Source organism: Homo sapiens, chromosome 14, assembly GCF_000001405.40.
Source record: "Homo sapiens chromosome 14, GRCh38.p14 Primary Assembly".
In the NCBI taxonomy this organism is placed as follows: domain Eukaryota; kingdom Metazoa; phylum Chordata; class Mammalia; order Primates; family Hominidae; genus Homo; species Homo sapiens.
Genome location: NC_000014.9, coordinates 65559719 through 65581204, shown reverse-complemented (window position 1 = coordinate 65581204; position 21486 = coordinate 65559719). Strand labels below are relative to the sequence as shown.

The window sequence follows — 21486 nt, the reverse complement described above, 5'->3', positions numbered from 1 at the left end:
ACTACTGAGCCTCATCACCAGAGTTTATGACTCAGTAGGTCTGGGAATTAACACTTCAGGATTAATTAACTATTACATCATCAAACACCTACATCCCAAAGGCAGCAGCAATATCAAGCTGTTCAGTAAGCTTTATTTCCTATAAAAACCAGCAAGTTTATTGTAAGCTAAATGGACTCTAGAAATAGTATTTTGCTGGGTAAAATTAACTTATGTGAAATACCTAGAAATATTACAGAAGCACTACCAACTTTGAGAACAATATGTAAGTATTTAGTAAATCCAGTAGCCAATACTCTTTGGAATGATGCTCTAGGCTTAGATTCCAATCCACACTGTGTCTAGGGGCTGATTCAGATTATTATCTGATGCCTGAACAGAAGGATGATCAAATCCTGTTGTTGGAATAAGGTCACAACTTTCTCAAGATAATCTTTCATATAAGATATTGCAGGAACACCTAAAAAGACAGAGTATGAACTTCCCCATTTTGAGTCTTGTCTTCACTGTAACATATTAAATGTTAGCAGAATTATGGGGGAGGAAGCCTATATTTTTCACTGACCTCTAGTTATTGGAAGCTACCAATACCTATCAAAAACAATCAAATAATAATGAGTGATCAACCAACTTGCTGGTTTTCAACAAACTTCCATGTGTGTTTGTATGTGCGTGTCTGTGTATACATAGTGTGTTATATACACGCACACATAACATGTATTTTCTACAAGATAGAAAATACATATATATGTATTATATACAGTATTATATACACATATATATATATTTAGTCATGCACCACATAACAATGGACCGCATATATAACAGTAGGCCCACAAGATTATATTTTTACTGTACCTTTTCTATGTTTAGATATGTTTACACAAATACTTAACCATCATGTTACAACTGCCTACAGTATTCAGTACAGCAACATGCTGTACAAGTTTGTAGCCTAGGAGCAATAGCCTATATCATATACCCTAGGTATGTAGTACACACTAGCCTACTACACTCTATGATGTAAGTATACTCTATGATGTTCATACAGCCACAAAAATCACCTAATGACGTATTTCTCAGAATGTAATCCCGCCCTTAAGCAATGCATGACTATATATATATATATATATAAAATATAGCACTATCAGTATTTTGAAGAGATGCACTTCCCATAGTGCAGGGAAGCCAAAGGTGTATTTATTATTGAGATACCTTGAAATGACTTTTGCTTTCTTCTCAAGGATCAGAATAGGGTATTACTGACACAGGTTTGGTTTAAGAACTAATAGATCCTAGAAGCTTGTACACATTCCTTTAAATGGAAGTGCATAAATTGTGCATATTCTTGTAGAAAGGTGACATCAGCTCCAGGTATAAAAGGATTACGGCATAGCAAGAAATCAGCTTAGATCTGGCAAGATGTTACCTTGTGTGGACAACTGCACAGGCAGTTTATGACCCCACTGGGGACTCTAAAGGACCACAGGAAGCTATTTTTAGATATACTATATCTATTTCTACTCCATATGGCATTACCATGTCCAATAAGCTTTTGTATTACTGATCAAATAAACTGGGGACTTAATTTTAACTTACAGTATGTGGTTTCTTCCCAGAGACCCATGACCCACATGAAATACAGCAATTACCTAATCTAGCAAACTTGTGTTTAATGTGCCATTTCTACTTATTTATAAGACACTAACCTATCATTATGGTTAATCTCAATAAATATTAAACAAGGTCTCTATATGCTTATACAGATATATCCATATAACAAAGATGTAATGATTCAAGTGGCCATTTTCAATACTGTTACATGGGGATCTCTGATCACACAAAACAAATGCCAAAAGTAACTGTAATATAAAATTGGATATTCTGTCATTATCTATAGGCTAATAAACCATACTGTCCTGAATTAATTCTAAAAGGAAGGGAAACTTAAAAGTATAAAAGAGGACAGTGTTGGCAGTACACTGAAAATCAGATACAACTTCATAATTCTTTGGAAGATTTTTATTTCTTCTTCTGCCACTGACCTGCAGAAAAATAAGTCTCTTAGCTTCTGCACATAACAAATGGTAAAATAGATAATATTTCTGAAGTGCTATTAAGTAAAACTGAGAATTAACATTAAATTACACTTTTGAAAGTCCCTTTTGTCTTTATTTGCAGATATAGCATTCCATATTCATTAAATGTACCTCAGTTTTTCACCAACCTTATTACAATCTCTTAAGCATTTCTGATGTAAAATACCCCCGCCAAGCAACAGCTTTTGCATACATTTTTTTAAAAAAGAACAGAAAGACTATGTTAAAATCAAATTCATTCTATTTGAACAAGCAACAATAACAAGAAAAGCATAGTGTGCTATTTTACATTATATTTCCTTGTAGCCATTGTAATTCACAGGCTAGCTCTAATACATATATTGAAATCTATTTATATTTGTTCTCCTTCAGACAGCTTTGCCTAGAATACTGATCTCCAAACTAAACAACCATTTTATTTCATTATGTTATCTAAATCAGGGGTGTCCAATCTTTTGGCTTCCCTGGGCCACATTAGAAGAAGAAGAATTGTCTTGGGCCACACATAAAATACACTAACAATAGCTGATAAGCTTAAAAAACAAATCGCAACAAAATCTCATAACGTTTTAAGAAAGTTTACGAATTTGTGTTGGGCTGCATTCAAAGCTGTCCTGGGCCACATGCGAGTTGGACAAGCTTGAGCTAAATGAATTAAAAGACGTCAATATAACAATTTCAAAAACAAAATAAATCTTCATACTGAAATACAAATTTGCCTGAAAGAAACGTAAGAAATAGCCCAGGGTATTTTTTTCTAAAGACTTTGTAGCAGATGTGTCATCTATAAATCAAGTGATACTGAAATCAATATGCCACAATGACTGTATTTCCTGCTATTATTTATCTTCAATTATCAAGAAGTTATTGAAGTCATCATCAGCTCAGTATAGTCGGGTAAAAGAATAAAATATAAAGAATGTTTAATCAAGTCCCTCAGCTCAACTATTCATACATTATATTAAATAAAATATTTAATGAAAATTTACTTTGCCTATGTAGCATTTATATACGGGAGAAAAAAATTCAAATACAAAGTTTAAATTTTTACAATTTAGTTATTTAAGATGTTTTTTCATGTGACACCTTTCTCCAAGAATGGTGTGTTCTTCCCTAGAGGTCTGGGTAGTGATAATGAATAATTAAAATTTCTATATTCTAAATAAAGCTCAGGGTGGGCAATTATAATTCCCATATTTAGAAGCATCAGTTTTAAAAATCATATTGTCCAGTTATGAGAGAAGAATTATGAGAAATAAAGCCCATTCTATGCTTCTATTTAACCTAGTATATATTTAACTATTCTGTTTCAATAAATACATTTATTGAATGTGATCACCTACCCCAATCTACTTTTCCTACAATTGTAGATCCTAGACCCAAAGAGGTTAAGTGATTTATCTCAGGGTGAGCAATCATTCTGAAGAATGTGCAAGTTTTCCAAATTATCTCATCCATTGTGTTAATTATTTTACATTAGAAAAAATGAAAACATATTCTGAGTTCTATAAAACTATGTAAAATCATGCATTTTGGATTATCAGCTACCATTAGCAGCTAAAAATCTGTTTATTGAGGACCTACTAATACACAAAAATCTTCTATTTTTTTAATCTCATTTTAAACTTATTGCAAAATAGATATTATTGCCATTTTTAAAGTGAAGAAACTGAAGATCAAAAAGCCCCCTTACACGACTTTTTTAAGATCACTAAGTTAGTAAGTGGTCGACTTGGGATCCAAATCCAAATCTGAGAAGCCCAGGCCTTTCATTTCACTAGATTGTTCCTTTCTAAGCATAACCGATCAGATCTCCTCCACCTAAGAGCCACTTCAGCACTAAATACAAGGTGCCTCTTAGGAGGCAGAGACACAAACACATTAGAATAACTGAACATATAATAAAAGCAAGAAGAAATAAGAGGTAAAATGTAAGCTTATAAAGATTTATAGTAAGACCAGGCGCAATGGCTCATATCTGTAATCCCAGCACTTTGGAAGGCTGAGGCAGGAGGACTGCTAGAGCCCAGGAGTTCGAGACCACCCTGGGCAACATAGGGAGACCCCATCTCTACAAAAAAAAAATTTAATTAGCTGGGCATAGGCCAGGCGTGGTGGCTCATGCCTGTAATCCCAGCACTTTGGGAGGCCTAGGTGGGCAGATCACGAGGTCAGGAGATAACACGGTAAAAACCCCATCTCTATGAAAAGTACAAAAATTAGCTGGGCATGGCGACGCGTGCCTATAATCCCAGCTACTCAGGAGGCAGAGGAAGGAGAATCGCTTGAACCTGGGAGGTGGAGGTTGCAGTGAGCTGAGATCGCGCCATTACACTCCATCCTGGCGACAAAAGCTAGACTCTGTCTCAAAAAAAAAAAAAAAAAAAAAAAAAAAAAAAAAAAAAAAAAGCAAGCTGGGCATCATGGCACACACCTGTGTTCCCAGCTACTTGGGAGGCTGAAGTAGGAGGATCGCTTGAGCCCAGCAGATCGAAGCTGCAGTGAGCCATGATTGCACCACTACACTCCAGCCTTGGAGACAGAGCAAGACCCTGTCTTGGGAAAAAAAAACAAAAACGGAAACAAGTACAAAAGATGTACAGTAAAACAAGAGCCTAAGAATAATATTACTATTTGGACCTTTATTTCAGAGCATGTCTATATCAACATGTAACATGCCTAACAATTCAGAGACTACAAAAGACAAGACTTAATAATGAAAATAATGAAACCATCCTGGTTCACACAAACCTTGTTAGTCAACTTTTTCTATAAAGGGTCAGAGAGTAAACTATGTAGGTTTTGTGGCTACAAATGGCCTCTTACATGTTCTGCTTTGAATTTGTTTTTGATCCAACCATTTAAAAATGTAAAACCATTCTTAGCCTGGAAGCCATTGAAAAAGAAACAAACAAACAAACAAAAAACAGAGAAAGGTAGACTTGTCCCACGGCCATAGTTTGTCAACCCCTGTTAAAGCTAAGCAAACCAAAAAAAGCAGACAACTATTCACAGCAAGTGAGCTATTATAAGGATTTGTAGTGAGGAGAAAGTCAAATTTAATTTACATTTGAATAGTTGTGATTATTTATATAAAAGCTATACTTACTTGCGGCCAACTGTTGACTAATTCCATTTGTATTTTTATCTATATTTTGAAAACTGAATTATAAAGTATTCATCAAAAATATCTGCTTCTGGCTCACACTTGTAATCTTAGCACTTGGGGAGGCCAAGGCGGGCAGATCAATTGAAGCCAGGAGTTCGAGATCAGCCTGGCCAACATGGCAAAAACCCGTCTTTACTAAAAATACAAAAATTAGCCAGGCCACAGCAACGCGCACCTGTAATTCCAGCTACTCGGGAGGCCGAGGTGGGAGATTTGCTTGAACCCGGGAGGTGGAGGTTGCAGTAAGCAGAGAATGTGCCGCTGCACTCCAGTCTGGGGGACAGAGCAAGAGTGTGGGGGAAAAAAAAAAAGAGGAAGGAAGGAAGGAAGGAAGGAAGGAAGGAAGGAAGGAAGAAGGAAGGAAGGAAAGAAGGGAGGGAGGAAGGGAGGTTGGTTCTAAGTGAACAGAGGTAACCAACTTGTCATTAAATGAGCAAAAGGTCAGACTATCCAAAAAGTATCCTATTTGGATATCCTATCAAAATGGGATTTTCTGTACTCACAGCTATGAAATTAATGCCCATGTATGAAAGATTACATATGTACTGTATACATATAATTACAGGAAAAAGTCACACATAAATGAAATTAAAGGCAAGTTCAAAATAATCCCTGAGTACAATAATTTAAAGTCTTGCCATATGTAATCACTCTAAATTGGAAGAAGAGAGAAAGAAAAGGAAGGAAGAAAGGAGGGAGAGAGAGGAAAGGAACTTCACAACGAAGGTAAATGATTTTTAAGTAATGGTAAATTTCTTTACTACTTGCAAATTTATACCCTTGGACACAGCCGTCCAGAGGCACTCCTAGACTATTATAAGAAATAAAATAAAATAAATTAATAAATAAAATAATAAAATAAAATAAAATACAGGAATGAAGAGGAAAAAGAATTCGCTTTATACGAATTAGAAAACATTTCATAGAAAAGAATACTGGCCTTTGGAATCCAGTAACCAAAGCCATCATCCACAAAAAGAGTATACAATATTAATCCTGCAACATCAACGAAATAAATGAAGTATCTGTTCAGCAACCCTGCCTTCAAGCCATGCTTATGGTTCCTCCTCAGAGGATATGTTTCACAGAATCTGCTCATTATTTGCCCCTTTAATCTTTGTACTAGGAACCAAGGGAAGCAAGACATTGCGCCACAAACAATGAAGTTCACTGTGATTGAAATGTTTAGTCTGAAATCATGTGGTAACAATTAATAACCAGATTAGCATTCTTATTGCTGTAAAAATGCTACCCACCTCAATTCTAGAACATTTTAAAACAGACAAGAAGCACCATTTAAAGCTTTTCATGTTTAATTAAAAATATATTATTCTATAATACCTAGAGTCAGACTCTTTGAGCTCTTGCTGGTTTTAGCACTTACTATGTGGTGTGAGGCAAATCACTTAACTTCTGAATAAGATAATTTATGTAAAGTGTTGGTACACAATGAAAACTTTGATGTTATTATCGAGCACAATAAAACATGTTAAAAACACATGATCCCTGCTGTGGTGGTTGACTGTAGGATGCCCCCACTGATTTTTATCTTCTGGTGGTCAAGACCTTGGAAAATCGCCTCCCCAAGTGTAAATGGGACCTGTGATTTGCTCTAATCAATAGAATATTGCAAAGATGATGGAATGTATCTTCCATGACTGTGTTTAAAAAGACTGAAACTTTATCTTGCTAGCAGATTCTCTTCCTTGCTGGTTTTGATGAAGCAAGCTATGGTGTGAGCTGCCCTCTGGAGAGGTCCACTTGGAAAGGAACTGAGGGCAGCCTCTGGCAGACAGCAAGAAACTGAGGCCCTTAGTCCAAACAATATCAAGGAAGTGAATTCTGCCAACAACCACATGATTTTAGAACTGTATCCTTCTTTAATTGAGCCTTGAAATAAACTGCAGACCCAGTCAACACCTTTTGTACCTTTGTGAGGGACCCCAAAGCAGAGACACCACCTAAACTGTGCAAGAACTCCTAATCCACAGAAACTGTGTGATAGTAAGTTTGTGTTGTTTTACAGCACTAGGTTGGTAATTTGTTGAACAGCAAAAGATAACTAAATACCATTTAACAGACAAGATATAAACAATCAGATGCATTTTATTCTCTAATAGTTCTAATGAACCTAAAATAAATAATTAAAAGAATAAATGAATGAATCACTAAACCTGACGCCCTATTTTTTTTTTTTTTTTAGACATGGGGGTCTCACTGTGTTGCCCAGGCTGGAGTACAGTGGCTATTCACAGGCACGATCATTGGGTACAATAGCCTGGAACTCCTGGACTCAAGTGATCCTCTTGCCTCAGCTTTCCTAGCAGCTAGGACTACAGGCTTGTGCCACTGCATCCAACGTGGACCCCCTTTTGTATGCCACAATCTATCCAGTGCCTTTCGCTAAGCTTTGCAATTTCCCTCCTATTTGTAATATTAATGGTTTATACTTTTTGATTTATAAAAAATTTTACTTTCTCTTCAAAATCATATAGCTATCACCAGAAGTCTTGCACATGTATTATTTTCCAAATATTGAAAGTTACCTTACTCTAATTTTCTTTTCTTGGTGGTGATTTTGGTATTATATATGAATATATTAATATGAATGAGGAAAGTGATTATGACTCCTAATGAGAAAGCATGATCTTACCTTACATTCCACATAACCAGTTTCTACTGAACCATCTGAACCATCTTTGTTGTGGGTGGGGAGCAGGCAAAGCTTGAAATGAACGGGAAAAGAAATGTTTCTCTACATGATAGACTTCTAGCTGATACTATAAATAAGAATAAATTTCTACAGCTCTATCCCTCCCCACTGAGCCAACTCCAAATACACAGACTTCCCTATTCATTATGACAAGACAGCCTTTTACAAGAAACTCCCCAATCCAAATATCAGAGTCCATCAGGACAGACAGGTTTTCAATGGTAAATGTGTATTCTGCTATTGTTGAAAACAGTATTCTGTAAATGTCAATTAGGTCAAGCTGATTGAAGAAAATGCTATTCACATCAGCTATATCTTTACTGATTTTCTGCCTGCTTAATCTTTCAATTACTGTAAGAGAGGTGCTGAAGTCTCTAGCTATAATAGTGAATTTATCTATTTCTCCTGTCTCACATATTTTGCCTCAGGTATTTCACACTTTGTTGTTATGTGCATACATGTTAAGGACTGTTATGTCCTCATTACTCCTTTATCACTACAGAATGACCCATCTTTATCGCTGATAATTTTCCTTGCTAAGTCTGCTTAATGATAAATGGGGAAGAAAGGAATCTGGTAGAAAGAGAATGTACATTATAGTCTATGGTCTAGTCTACTGGACCCATATACAAAACACGCAAAGGGTGTTAGGCAAAAAAGGATTGTTGCACATTTTCTGTGGAAAAAGCAGTGACTTTTAGAGCCACCATACCAACGTGATTAAGAATGTGGAATATGAAGCAAGATGAACTCCACATTCATCACTCACAGTTGTATACATTTCAGCAAGCTATTTAACTGTACTTCTCTGTCTACATCTACAAAATGGGGATAATGTGAGTACTTACTCACAGGGCTGCTATAGGGATTAAATGAGTTCATACATACACAAAGCTTAGAATGTGACCTGATACATAGTAACACATATTAACAGCTGTTGTTTTTGTTGTCTTGCTGTTCCTGCTTGCTGCTAATGTTACTGTTAGGACAATCGAGATGCTAAGAGTAAAAGCACAAGCTAACAGCTCTTCTTGCATTGTTTCCCACTGCAATCCAACATCTAGTTGATAGGGTGCCACATGAGACCTTGAGAAAAGTGTCATAAAATTATGATTATGAGCTGCAACTCTCCTATGAATAGGATTATAAGCCATTCACTGTGCCTATACACTGGTAGGCCTAGATTTACAAAAAACTTGTAAGACTATGGGCAAAGTGGATTGTTAAATCTTGAATCCAAATTCACTAAGAGTCTGCTATTTTATAAAGACTATTTTACCTTTTATCTTCTGTGTAAACCTAGATTTTCATATATTGAGTTTAAGTGGGGTTATACTTTTCAGTACACAAGAAAAAACAGGTAACAATGCTATAACACAGTGTTCTAAATAGAACAACTGATATAATACTTTTGTTGCCTGAAAACCCCTTCCTTGGCATTGTTCCATGTAAACTTTACTTCCATGTAAATATATATATATATTCAAGTCTTGGGTGTGAAGAATATTAAGACAATATAACAAATGATGATGAAAGTAGCATTATATTCTAAATGTGCTTTTATTCTACCAAGGTTCTGTCCCTAATAAAACCTAGTAATGGCAATAGTATGTAAAAATACATATGATGCTATGCTTCTCTACACATAACCAATTGCTGTATTCATAGAACAGGTGTAGTGGTTGAAAAATGAATTTTCCTACCACGTGAGATTCTTGCAGGCCCTGTATGTAAGAGTATGTTGATGCTGTTCCCACACTTCCTTCTCTGCAAGTCCACAGTGTTTAGGGAAACTATGGATCATCTGAAGTGCATGGAGAAATTTTTACTTTGTGCCACACATTTTCTGGCAATCACTGCTATGTGCATGATTCCCAAAGTCATATTTCTCTCTCACCTGGGCTTTTTTCCTGAGTTCTAGACTCACTTTCCAACTTTCTTTTGGATAGGTTCAGCAAGCACATCAAGTTCAACCTACCTAAATCCCATCCTGGTCTTTCTCCTAACAGGTTCATTATATCAGTCATTGAAAAAGATTACTGACAGTTACTGTTAAAATAAAAACTTCAGCCAAATTAAATTTAAAGGAGTTTAATTGAGCAATGAACGATTCACGAATCCAGCAGCACCCAGAATCACAGCAGATTCAGAAAGACTCCAGTGCAGCCACATGGTGGAAGAAGATTTATAGACAAAAAAGGGGGAGTGATATACAGAAATCAGAAGTGAGGTACAGAAACAACTAGATTGGTTACAGCTCAGCATTTGCCTTATTTGAACACAGTCTGAATGCTCAGCAGTGTGTGAATGGTTGAAATATGGCTGCTGGGATTGGGCAAGACTCAGCTATTGTTACAGGCGCATACTCCTAAGTCAGGTTTTCGATCTTGTCTACCTATTAAGTTAGGTTACAGTTCGTCCACTAGGACTCAAATATAGAGTACAAAGTCCTTCTCAGACCATATTTAATTCACTTTAACACGACAAACTTTGAATCCACTTAAACTCTTCCTTTCCTTTACCACACAATTAAGGTATACAATAGAAGGTTAAAAGGGAATCAAAGGAAAGCCTGAAGAACCAGGTCATTAAAAGAGCAAGAACCAAGAAGTCTCCAGAGATCTAGGCACAGGAACTAATGGAAATCGTGTATGTCAGCAACACTGGGATAAATGAACTCCACTTTTAATACAGGTAGAGTATATGTAGGAGTATATGTAGTTATAAGTAGAATACAGTATAACATGGCAAACCCTATTCTCATTCTCACTGTAATAATGACAATAAGCACTCCCCACCACTCCCAGAAAAAAAAAAACTTGCAAATATAATCCTTTTAAAGGCATTAGAGAGCTGTGGAAGTGAGGGATTAAATTAACTAAAATTCCAGAGCAGGCTGAACTAGCTATGTTCTTACTTGGGAAGCATTTGCTGATTCTGGGTAGGGATCACACAGAAGAGTGGTGTGAAAATTTGGAAACTGCAAGAGCAGTAAACACATAGCCAGTTTTCTCCATGATTGATTTGCTGGATTCTATGGCTCCAAGGCTAGACAGTAATTTTAAGACAGAATGAAATTTCTCATAGTCTTACGAAATTTACAGGATGAAGTCCTGCTTGAGGTCTACCTTAAACTCACAGCTAGTCTTCTCTTCAATGTATGTCAAATTTAGATGCTACATGGAGCAAGAGACCAAAGAGCAAAGCTCAAAACCTCTGAAGGGCAGAAGAAATGTCCTATACTTCAAATCTGAAGAGAAATCTACCAAATTGTCAATAAAAAGCCTAGAAGAATTATACCTGAGGAACAAGGAAGAAACAAAGTGGGCTAGGTTTTACTAAAACTAAAACACAGCCATGTTCAATCACTGATTGTACTGGATTGAAATATTAAGCCCAATCTCCAACAGAGAAAAGCCTCTGTAGCCTCCACAGTGCCTTTATACACAATATATTAAATTTAAAATCACTAGACATGCAAAGAGGCAGAAAATTTGACTAACAATCAAAATAAATATCAAAAGAAATCAACCAAAAGGTGATCCATGAAATAGAAATTAGGAGAAAATATAATAGTTATATTAGAATAACTATTTAAGAAATTAAAAGAAACATGGACAAGACAGATGAAAAATGGAGAATTTCCAAAGAAATTTGAAATTATCAAAAAGAATCAAGTGAGTATTCTAGAATCAAAAAATATAAAAAATTACTAACTGTGTGTGATTAACGGCACAATGAACAAAACAGAAGACAGGTGAAATAAGTTGGAAGCCAGTTCAATAGAAAATAATACAAAATAAAGTGCAAAGAGAAATTAGATCATGAAAGACACATAAAGCCATGTGAGATACCATAAAAATAAGTTTAATAATACATATAATTGGAATTCCATAAGGAAAAAAATAAAAAATAATGGCTTCAGAAGCAGTATTTGAAGAAATAGTAGCTGAGGGTTTTCCAAAATTGATAAAATACATCAACTCCCAGATTTAAGCAGCTCAGTGAACTTCAAGCTGAATAAAAACAAATAAAGCCATATCTAGGCACTCATAGTCAAGTGCTTAACACCAAAGACAAAAAAAAAAGTAAACTCAGCCAAAGAGAAAGATACGCTTCTTAAAATTGCAGACTTCTCAGAGACTATGAAAGGCAGGAATCAATGAAATGACATGTTTTAAATGCTTTTAAAAATTACTGCTAAAGTAAATTCTACACTCAATAGAAATATCTAACAAAATGAAAGATAAAGTTTTTAAAAAAGAGAATCTGAATTTATTGCTATCAAACCTGCACTATAAATACTATAGGATATTATTAAGGCTGAAGAACATGATTCAACATGAAAGAACTGAATAACAGGAAGGAGTAAAGAACACTAGAAAGAAAAAATATGTGGCCAATTATAAAAGAATATGAGTGTTTATAAAAATTAATAAATCTGAATAACTTAATTAACCAACCTAACTTAAATGACATATATACTAGATCAGACTCAGCAACAGAATACACATTTCTTAAGCATTCAACAACATAAGTCATTTGCTAAGCCATTAAATAAATTTCAAAGAACTGAAATATAGAATATAATTCTATCTGGTTGAAGAACAAACTAGAAATCAAAATCTGAAAGATAAACAGAATAGCCCAATTTGGAAATTAAGTAACAACTACTAAATAACCTATGGGTCATAGAAAAAAAAAATCACAATACAAATTTTAAAGTATTTTAAATTAATGACAAAAATAGAATATCAAAACTTATGGAATACAACTGAAAGCTGTGCTTAGAGAGAAATTTAAGGCTTTCCAGGACATAAAAGAAAATAAAATAGAAAACAGATATACAATAAAGAAAAAAAAAGCACAGAGGTTGGTTCTTTGAAAAAGCAAATTAAATTGATAAACTGTTAGCAAGATAAAAGGAGAAAACACAACCAATATTAAGAATGAAAAAGGAGACATTACTATAGATATACAAGTATGGAGAAGAAAATAAAATGGCACTAAGAACAATTTTAAGCTAGAACATTTGAACATGCTGATAAAATGAACACATGCTTTGAAAAACACGTCTCACCAAAATTGACATGAGAAAAAAAAAGAGCTGAACAGTCCAATTTATATTAAAGAGATGAAATCCAGAATCTAAAATCTTCCCATATGTTCTCCTTCCTCGCCACCACCCTTCCCCACAAAAAGACTCCAGGCCCAGATAACTTCACTGGTAGAATTATAATATTTAAAAGAAAATGAATATCAACTTTACATAAACTTTTCCAGAGAACAGAATTGGCCTGCATAAACCTTGATAACCTGAAAGACATCACAAGAAGGAAAAATCATAAATAAACAGCTCATTTATATAGAAAAAATCCAAAACAAAATGTTAGCAAATTTAATCCAGTAAAATGTTAAAAAGTTACAAGAAATTCCAGGGAGAGAATATCTGCTTAATCAGGCCTATCAGGATAGGAATGTTGTTCCCACTGTAATGTTCTCAGGGAAGGAGTATCTTTCATTATATCTTAAAAATAAGATATTCTTGATAACATGAGGAATAATGGATACAAGATTGAAAAAGCAAAAGGCAGATATCATGAAAGGTTATAATTAGATGGCAGGTGCTGTACACATTCCAATCTATCTCACTGGCTTTAAGAATATATGTACACTTCTTATATGAGAGACTAGGAGTTATAGAGAAGACGGTCTAGAGCAAAATCTTCCAACCAACCAACTAGAACAAAGGCAACCCACTTTTTAACACAATCTTCTCAAACAACAGTAAAACATGACCTGTGAAGAACCACTTCAGTTTCCTTTCTACCCAACTCAGTATACTTCTGTTGCCTGGGACAAATTTTTCCACCAGAAGATTTGTGCTTTGTCTGTAACCCGTATTGGCAGATGACACACAGCTCAGAAAAACAGGTAATCGGAAATTAATCATACATTCTTTGTGGTTTTTAAATTTACAGTTTTACAGCTAGCATCTAAATTCTAGAAGAAATCTCTTCTCCTTTCCTAGACCAAACAAATAAACAAAAAAACTATTAATCGGCCAAAAGGCCAAAAGCCACATTTGAATTTTTTTAAGTTCTGTTCTCAAAAATAAATGTCCCTAGAATAACAAGGATTAGGTTAAAAGGAAAGTTGTCAATTAAGCACTTTTTAGATTTTACAACTCCATGAGATTGACATCCAACCAGGTTGAGGTTCACTGCTCAAGGGGATTTCTGCACAAACCAACAATTTTCTGGGTGTTTTCTGGTAAATTTCAACTCTAGGAAGCAACATGGCTGGTTCAAGTCCCAAGGAGCAAAAATTCTGTGAGCAAATAGCTATTTCACATTATTAAACTTGAAACAAAACGAACATGAAGCATAAAAGGACTGAGAAAGTGATAATTTCTAAATTTTTTAAAGGCCCACTACATGTGTTCTAACATGATACCAATGAACAAGAAAGAAAGAGATGTCTGGGAAACTCTAAATACAGGCATGTTGAAAACCTAAGCATCAAAGTCAACTGATTCAATCATTAATTTCAGTGTAAGTTGCATTACCTCTTATCTAGATTAATACTTTAAGAGTTTCCCAAGAAATATCTTAACTCCAATCTGGCACATGCACCAAATCCACCTGAAAATCTAAATCTTCCTCAACCATTTTCACTGTGTCATTCCTCTGCTGAAAACCAACTATTGTTCTCTATTATCTATCAATCGGGTCTATACATAACTCTGGCTATATAAGCCCACCATGATTTGACCTAATCCAATCTATTCAACTTCCCTTCTGTGGTGAGAACGGTAGGTTAAATGCGGTTACACATTCTTTGTAGTTCCATCAACCAAGATGCAGTATCTATTTCTTCCATTTTTGAATATGGGTAGGCCTCTTGACTTGCAATGAACAGAATGTGGCAGAATTGACACTGTGTTACTTCTGATGCTCAGTCTCAAGAGGCCATGCAATTCCTGCTATTTTCCTCTTGGAACACTACCATGTAAGAAATCTGGGCTATCCTTCCAGAAAAGAAATATGGAAGTGAGCCAGTTAATGGTCGACCTAATTGCCAAATATGTAAGTGAGGTCATCTTGGACTGCCCAACCATAACCAAGCCACCAGATGACTGCAGCCACATGAGTGACCCTATTTATAATTAGAAAAAAAGCCTAGCTGAAGTTAACCCAAATTGGAAAAATCAAGAGCAAATAAATGATTGTTTTATGCCACCATGTTTTTGTTTTTTATTATATTATACCATATTTTATATTACTAATAAATATAATTTTGTGTTTATATGTTTTTTAAAAATAATTTTTTCAAAGAACTTATTAAAAGAAAACAGTTTGATTTTTTAAAATAGACAACAGATTCTTTGGTGAAATGAATAAACACTTCACCAAAGATGACATATGAATGGCAAATCAACACATTAAAAAAATGGCCAATATCATTCATTACAGAAATATAAATTGAAACCTCAATGAGATAGTATTATATATCTGTTACAATGACTAAAATAAAGATAACTGACAATAGCAAATGCTGGGTAGGAGGAGAGCAAGTAGAACTCTCAAGAATTTCTGGTAGGAATTTCAAAACGGTACAGGTACTCTAGAAAAAGAACTGGGTTGCTTCTTATAAAGTTAAATATGCAGTTAACATATGACCCAGCAGTTCCACTCCTAGGTATTTGCCCAAGAGAAATAAAAACTATGGTCATACAAAAGTTTATGAAACAAAGGTTAATAGTGACTTTGTTCACAACTGCCCCAAAATGGAAATAACCTCACATTCTTCAATTGGTGAATGGATTAAAAAAAAAAAAGTGATATATCTTGCTATGATTTGGATGTGGTTTGTCCTCATCAAAACTCACGTTGAAATTTGATCCCCAACATGGCAGTATTGGCAGGTGGGACCTAGTGGGAGGTATTTGGGTTATGGAGCTAGATCCCTCATGAATAAATTAATGCTCCTCCTTCAGAGATGACTGAGTTCTCCTTCTCATGGGAATGGAATAGTTACCAAAAGAGCAGGTTGTTTAAAAAAGTCTGGCTTCCTCGGTTTCTGTCTTGCTTCCTCTCTTATCATGTGATCTCTTTATACACGCTTACTCTCCTTCCACTTCCCACCATGAATTGAAGCAGCCTCAGGCCCTCACCAGATGCAGCTGTTCAATCTTGGACTTTCTGGCCACCAGAATCATGAGCCAAATAACTTCTTTCTCTATAAACTATCCAGTGTCAGGTATTCTGTGATAGCAATGCTAAATGGGCTAAGACACATCAATATAACGGAATACTACTCAACATTTAAAAAGAATAAAAATACTACTCAGCAATAAAAAAGAATGAACTACTAATACAGACAATAGTATTGATGAAACTCAAAAACATTATAGTAAGTGAAAAAAGACAGACTCAAAAGGCTACATACTATGTAATTCAATTTATATGACATTCTGAAACAGGAAAAAAGTGTGACAGAAATCAGATCAGTTAAGTGCCAGGGACAGGAGGTCAGGACAGAATTTGACCATAAGAGGGAACAACAGAATTCTAGAGGGAGGTAGAATTCATCTATAGTTTTTGTGATGGTTACGTGACTGTATTTGCCAAAACTCACAGACATCTACGATAAAGGAAGTGAATTTTATGTACAGACATTACTCATCAATAGATCAGATTTACACAAATACACTGCAACCTCCTATATATTGTGCTTCTACATTTGCATCCCTCCAAGATACGATATTTAAATTATTTTCCTAAATTTCTAAAACTATCAACAAAATCAGAAAATTCTAGCCGAAAGATTTGTTAATGGCTTTTCAGATTATTGACTTGAATCTAGAAAATCTAAAAAATTGTAGTTTCAAGCTTTTGTGTTGCTTTCCAACTCCAATCCATATGCCTTATCTCAAAGAAACGACCTAGTTATAAACATCTGAATTAATCTTTTGTAGTCTGACTTGTGAACACATTTTCTTATATGAAAAAGACATAGCAAATTGAGTACAAAATATTAACTTAATTACTATAAGGGGAAAAAAATCCCAATGCTAGTAGCACCTCCATTGCTCTTCCTTTCATGCCAGAGGGCTCTAAAACGACATCCCTTTGGAAGAAATACAAATGGCCCCAGCAGTAAAGTCAATGAAAGGGCCCAATGAGGTTGAGGGAAAATAACTATAAACTATTTTCCTGAAATTATATTCCCTTATATAAACATGGGCCTATTTGCTTAGTCTGTTTTCAGACTGTAATTACATGGTATTACCACATGACTTAGGTGATTCAGCTCTTGAAAGTAGTCTCTACATTTAAATGTAGTTGAGAAATTAATTTCAACATATAAGAATATAAAGAAAGTGACTTAATAGACCTAAAGATTATTTTGCAGAAAGAAAAACCCATACTAAAGCAAGCTTTCCCTTCATGCAACAAAAACAAGACATTTGGCAGTCAGAAATAAACAAATTGAAATATCAGTATTGAAGATGGAACCATAAGGAAAGTGAGCAATTATTTATAAGTCTAAATTGTTAAGGGGAAAAATCTTTTTAGGAGCAAAATTCCCATGATATAGAAGGAGATTTGATTACAATCAAAGCAAACTCCAAAATCAACTAGAATAGTAGCTATTCTTGGTGATCTCATACCTAAGATGTTTAGGTCACTGATTTCTCTGTTTTCTGCTCAGGAAGGCAATACAGTTATTCAGAGTTTAGGTTGTGGAGTCATACTACTGGGATTCAAAGTAGGCTCTACCACTTGTGAAAAGTGTGACCTTCAGCAAATTAAATTACTTAACATCTCTATAATTGTTAATCTGTAAAATGGTTACAAAAATGGTACTAACATCTCATAAAGATAGTGTGAAATTCAGTGAGATGATCCATGCAAAGTCCTTGGCACAGTACCTGGCATGTAATAAATGACAGCTATTATTACTAACCCCTAAATTATCAATCTTTAGAATGAATGAATAAGACTCTACTGAAAGATCACCTTCCTCCATGATGTTCCCTGAGTACCCCAAGTAGGAAAGAAAATAATAGACAAATTCAAGAAGTTCTGTCCACTTTCTAATCCCTGACTGCTTGCTATCTTCTTGAATGGTACAAATGACAAGAATAATGTTTCATTCATTTTTGTCTTAACACGTAGCATTGTCTTTCAAAGGACATAAAAGGACCCAAATAATATTATGAAGAAAAAGTTATGAAACTAGACAAAGGGAAAAATCCGAGTTCTAAACAAAGAGTGAAGGGCAGTGAGAGTAGAAAATGAGAGCACCATGGGCATCCTCTCTATAGCATCAAGGGTAATTTAACACTGCCAACTACATTCTTCCTTCACAGAATGTTCCTCAGTTTCCGTAACAGCTCTGTCCCACTATTCTTCCCCAACTATTCTAAAGGCTTTCTGTACAATTGGATGTTTCCACTTTCTACTCCTTAATTTATGTGTTTCTCAAAGAGAAATGAACTTTCAGCTCTTTCTCTATACCACTTCCCTTAGGGTCAATTACCACCTCTGGAGTAAGGATTCTCAAATCTTCATTTCTAGCTTCTCTAGTTTGAGAGAGTGAGTACTACATGATCATCTTCGCATATAAGATACTAGGTAATGTTTTACCTCAATAACTTTGGAAAAAAATACAGAGATCGCCTATGTAATATTATGTTTACTTGCTCCCTGAAAATATATAGGAGACTTTGGTTTTCAAACAGTTGATGCCTTCTAATAGATATATGTCACATTTTTTACAGACTAGAAATAGCAATGATAATCATTCTCCGCATTCCAGATCCAGTTGTTTAATGATAAACTTTTGTTTCTGCATTTTAATAAGTTCTAGTTAGACTAACTCAGCCTCCCAGTTATTATAATCTTTGTTACAGTTCATATAAAATTTTTAATATACATGAGTTTAAAACATAGTTTGGATTTAATATATCAATTTTTTTAAATACATAACTGTAAATGAAATGTAAGTATATAAATGAAATGGCATAGTTTTTCTACATTAAAATGCATATGCAAAATAATGATGCCACTATGGAGAAATTATATCAGGGTTTCCCTGGGCCACACTGGAAGAAAAATTGTCTTGGGGCACATATAAAGTACACTAACACTAATGATAGCTGATGAGCTTAAAAAAAAATAAAAAAATCTCAGAATGTTTTAAGAAAGTTTACAAATTTGTGCTGGGCCCCATTCAAAGCTGTTCTGGGTCACCTGTGGCCCATGGGCTGTGGGTTGGACAAGCTTGTTCTGTATTAAATACACAGAGATAGAAAACTGTCATGCTAAGTTGTGGCAAAGACAGCAGGTTATAAAAATAATTAACTATTTTTCCTAGCGGAATGAAGCCCTACACCTAAAAACAAAGTACAATATTTCATCATTCTTCATTCAGTATTTTAGGACCTACCGGAGAGATTCGGCCATTCGCCTCAAGTCTTCATTCTGTTGTTTTAAGCGTTCAAGCTTTGCCAGAATCTTGGACAGTTCTCGGCTAGAGTGATCAGGATGGTCATTATCTCGTACCAAGTGACCACCTATATAAAACAGCAAGGTCCCCCAGGCAAAAAGAATGAGCATAATCCAACGCCAGGAACCAGTCCATGGCCGCATTTTCAGATTTTCAACTCACTTCCCTGGAGTCCTGGAGCTCAAAGAATTGAAAACATTGTAACTCTGTTTCTAGTTAGTGCACAGGTGAATAGACTTCTGTTGTTTCAACACATGATGCTTCAGACAAATTATTCTCTCTGGTAGTCCTGCAGTGAATCTTTCAAAGAGATCCTCCTGGTGATATGTGTAGGAAGCTTTATTGTCCTGTACTTCATGCGCTCTACATGCTGTGGAAAGAGTAAGAAATGTATTTAAATTATTTAAGGTATATAAAATAGCATATACTGAGATTCTTGGAGGAAACACATTGGTGTTGACTGGCCAACAAGTTGGAAGATAACCTAACTGCCTAATAACAAGTAAAGGGTAAAAGCTTTAAATCTGTTAATCTGTATATTAAATCAGCCATGTACATTAGTGCTCTACCAGATAACAGACTAATTAGCTCTAAGCCTGAAAGTCCTCAAAGTGCCATCATCACTTTCTTTTCCTTCTTGCATAATTATACATTAACTTATATATGAAGACTTAAAAATTATATCTTTGAACAATCAATCAAAAACAAAATGTACTCAACCACATATTTTGGGCTATATGTTCATTATCTCAAGAAAAAACATGTTCCCTGTATGAGTGATTTCATTTCTACCAGTTCTCAACTCCACTCTCCTCCCTCATTGTTCAGCTGCCATTATACCACTTAACTCTGCAGGTGACAGGCAAATTGTCACTTTTAGGATAAATTCTAAAACTGACATGCATATTAGCCAAGTAAAGGTTATCATAGCCATTAACCAGCTGGCAGTCATTCCAAATATCAGAAGCAAAGGTTCAAATGGATCAGGCTAGACTACTGCTTCCTCAAATTTATAAAAATACCAACAATTGCAACAAACGTCTAGCACCAGTTACATCTTAGTTACTGTGCATCTTAAACTACAAATGCACATTCTTTTCCAGGCTTGGTTACAAGTATCATTTGTCATTTCTCCATCATTAGGCTTAGAATTCCCTTGGAAACAAAACTATTTTCTCCCCAGGAGAGAATTTGTAGGCAAAAATATAATTTAAAACCTTTTGACAGGCCAGCCACAGTGACTCACATCTGTAATCCCTGCACTTTAGAAGGAGACAAGGCGGGAGAATTGCTTGAACCCAGAGTTTGAGACCAATCTGGCAAGATGGTGAAACCCCATCTCTATAAAAATTTTTTTTTCTTTAATTTTAAAAATGTTTTGATAATTTTAAAGCTATAGAAGAGAAATCATATGTCTAGACAGAGTTCCATATACAAGAGAAGAGAGAAAAAACAAGAAATAGTTTCTGTATACGAGACTGAATGTGAGGGGCACTTGACCACAAATCAAACAGTGGTAAAAAGATGAGCAGAAAAGATGGAGAAGAGGCTTCAAAAATCAGAGCACAGGGCCACTATTTTTCTATGTTTGCACCTTAAATCTCAATTGTTTTTAAAACACCAATATTCAAAGAGAAGAAAATCAAAGGGCTGTCCTAGAAACACTCTACTTCCTTCCCATTTACTCCTACAACATTTACCTTAATGTTACTGATTTACACTGGCTAAAACATAGAATGAAAAGAATTGTACTTGCTGAGAACTGTTTGAAAACCAAATTAAAAAGGAATAATCCAAGTAAAAAGTTGTCTGTTGTTTTAATAACTATTCTTAAATCTATCAAGAACACTCTTTTTACTGACTCCATTGTTTATCCTGTCCCTTTCTTAAAACTCTTTCTCAATCCCCACTCCTCTAAACTCAGGTATCCCCTACTTTTCATCTTATGTAAAAAAAATACAGAAATCCAGGGCTCTGTGACTTTAAAA

The 21486-nt window shown here is 35.0% G+C and overlaps 1 protein-coding gene across 13 annotated transcripts in view; it reads right to left on the bottom strand.

Annotated features, from left to right (window-relative positions):
• The window catches only part of FUT8 (fucosyltransferase 8), a 387280-nt gene that overhangs the window by 162917 nt on the left and 202877 nt on the right, over positions 1-21486 (bottom strand). For 12 of the 13 annotated variants that reach the window (NR_038167.1, XM_047431179.1, XM_047431177.1 and 9 more), the window contains one exon: positions 19439-19868. The exons of the other annotated variant lie outside the window; for it this stretch is intronic. Coding sequence is in view for 11 of the 12 variants with exons in the window: in XM_047431179.1 (XP_047287135.1) it covers positions 19439-19641 (203 nt within the window). In the remaining variant the exon portion in view is untranslated. The remainder of the gene's footprint in view (positions 1-19438; positions 19869-21486) is intronic. 13 annotated transcript variants of the gene reach the window in all.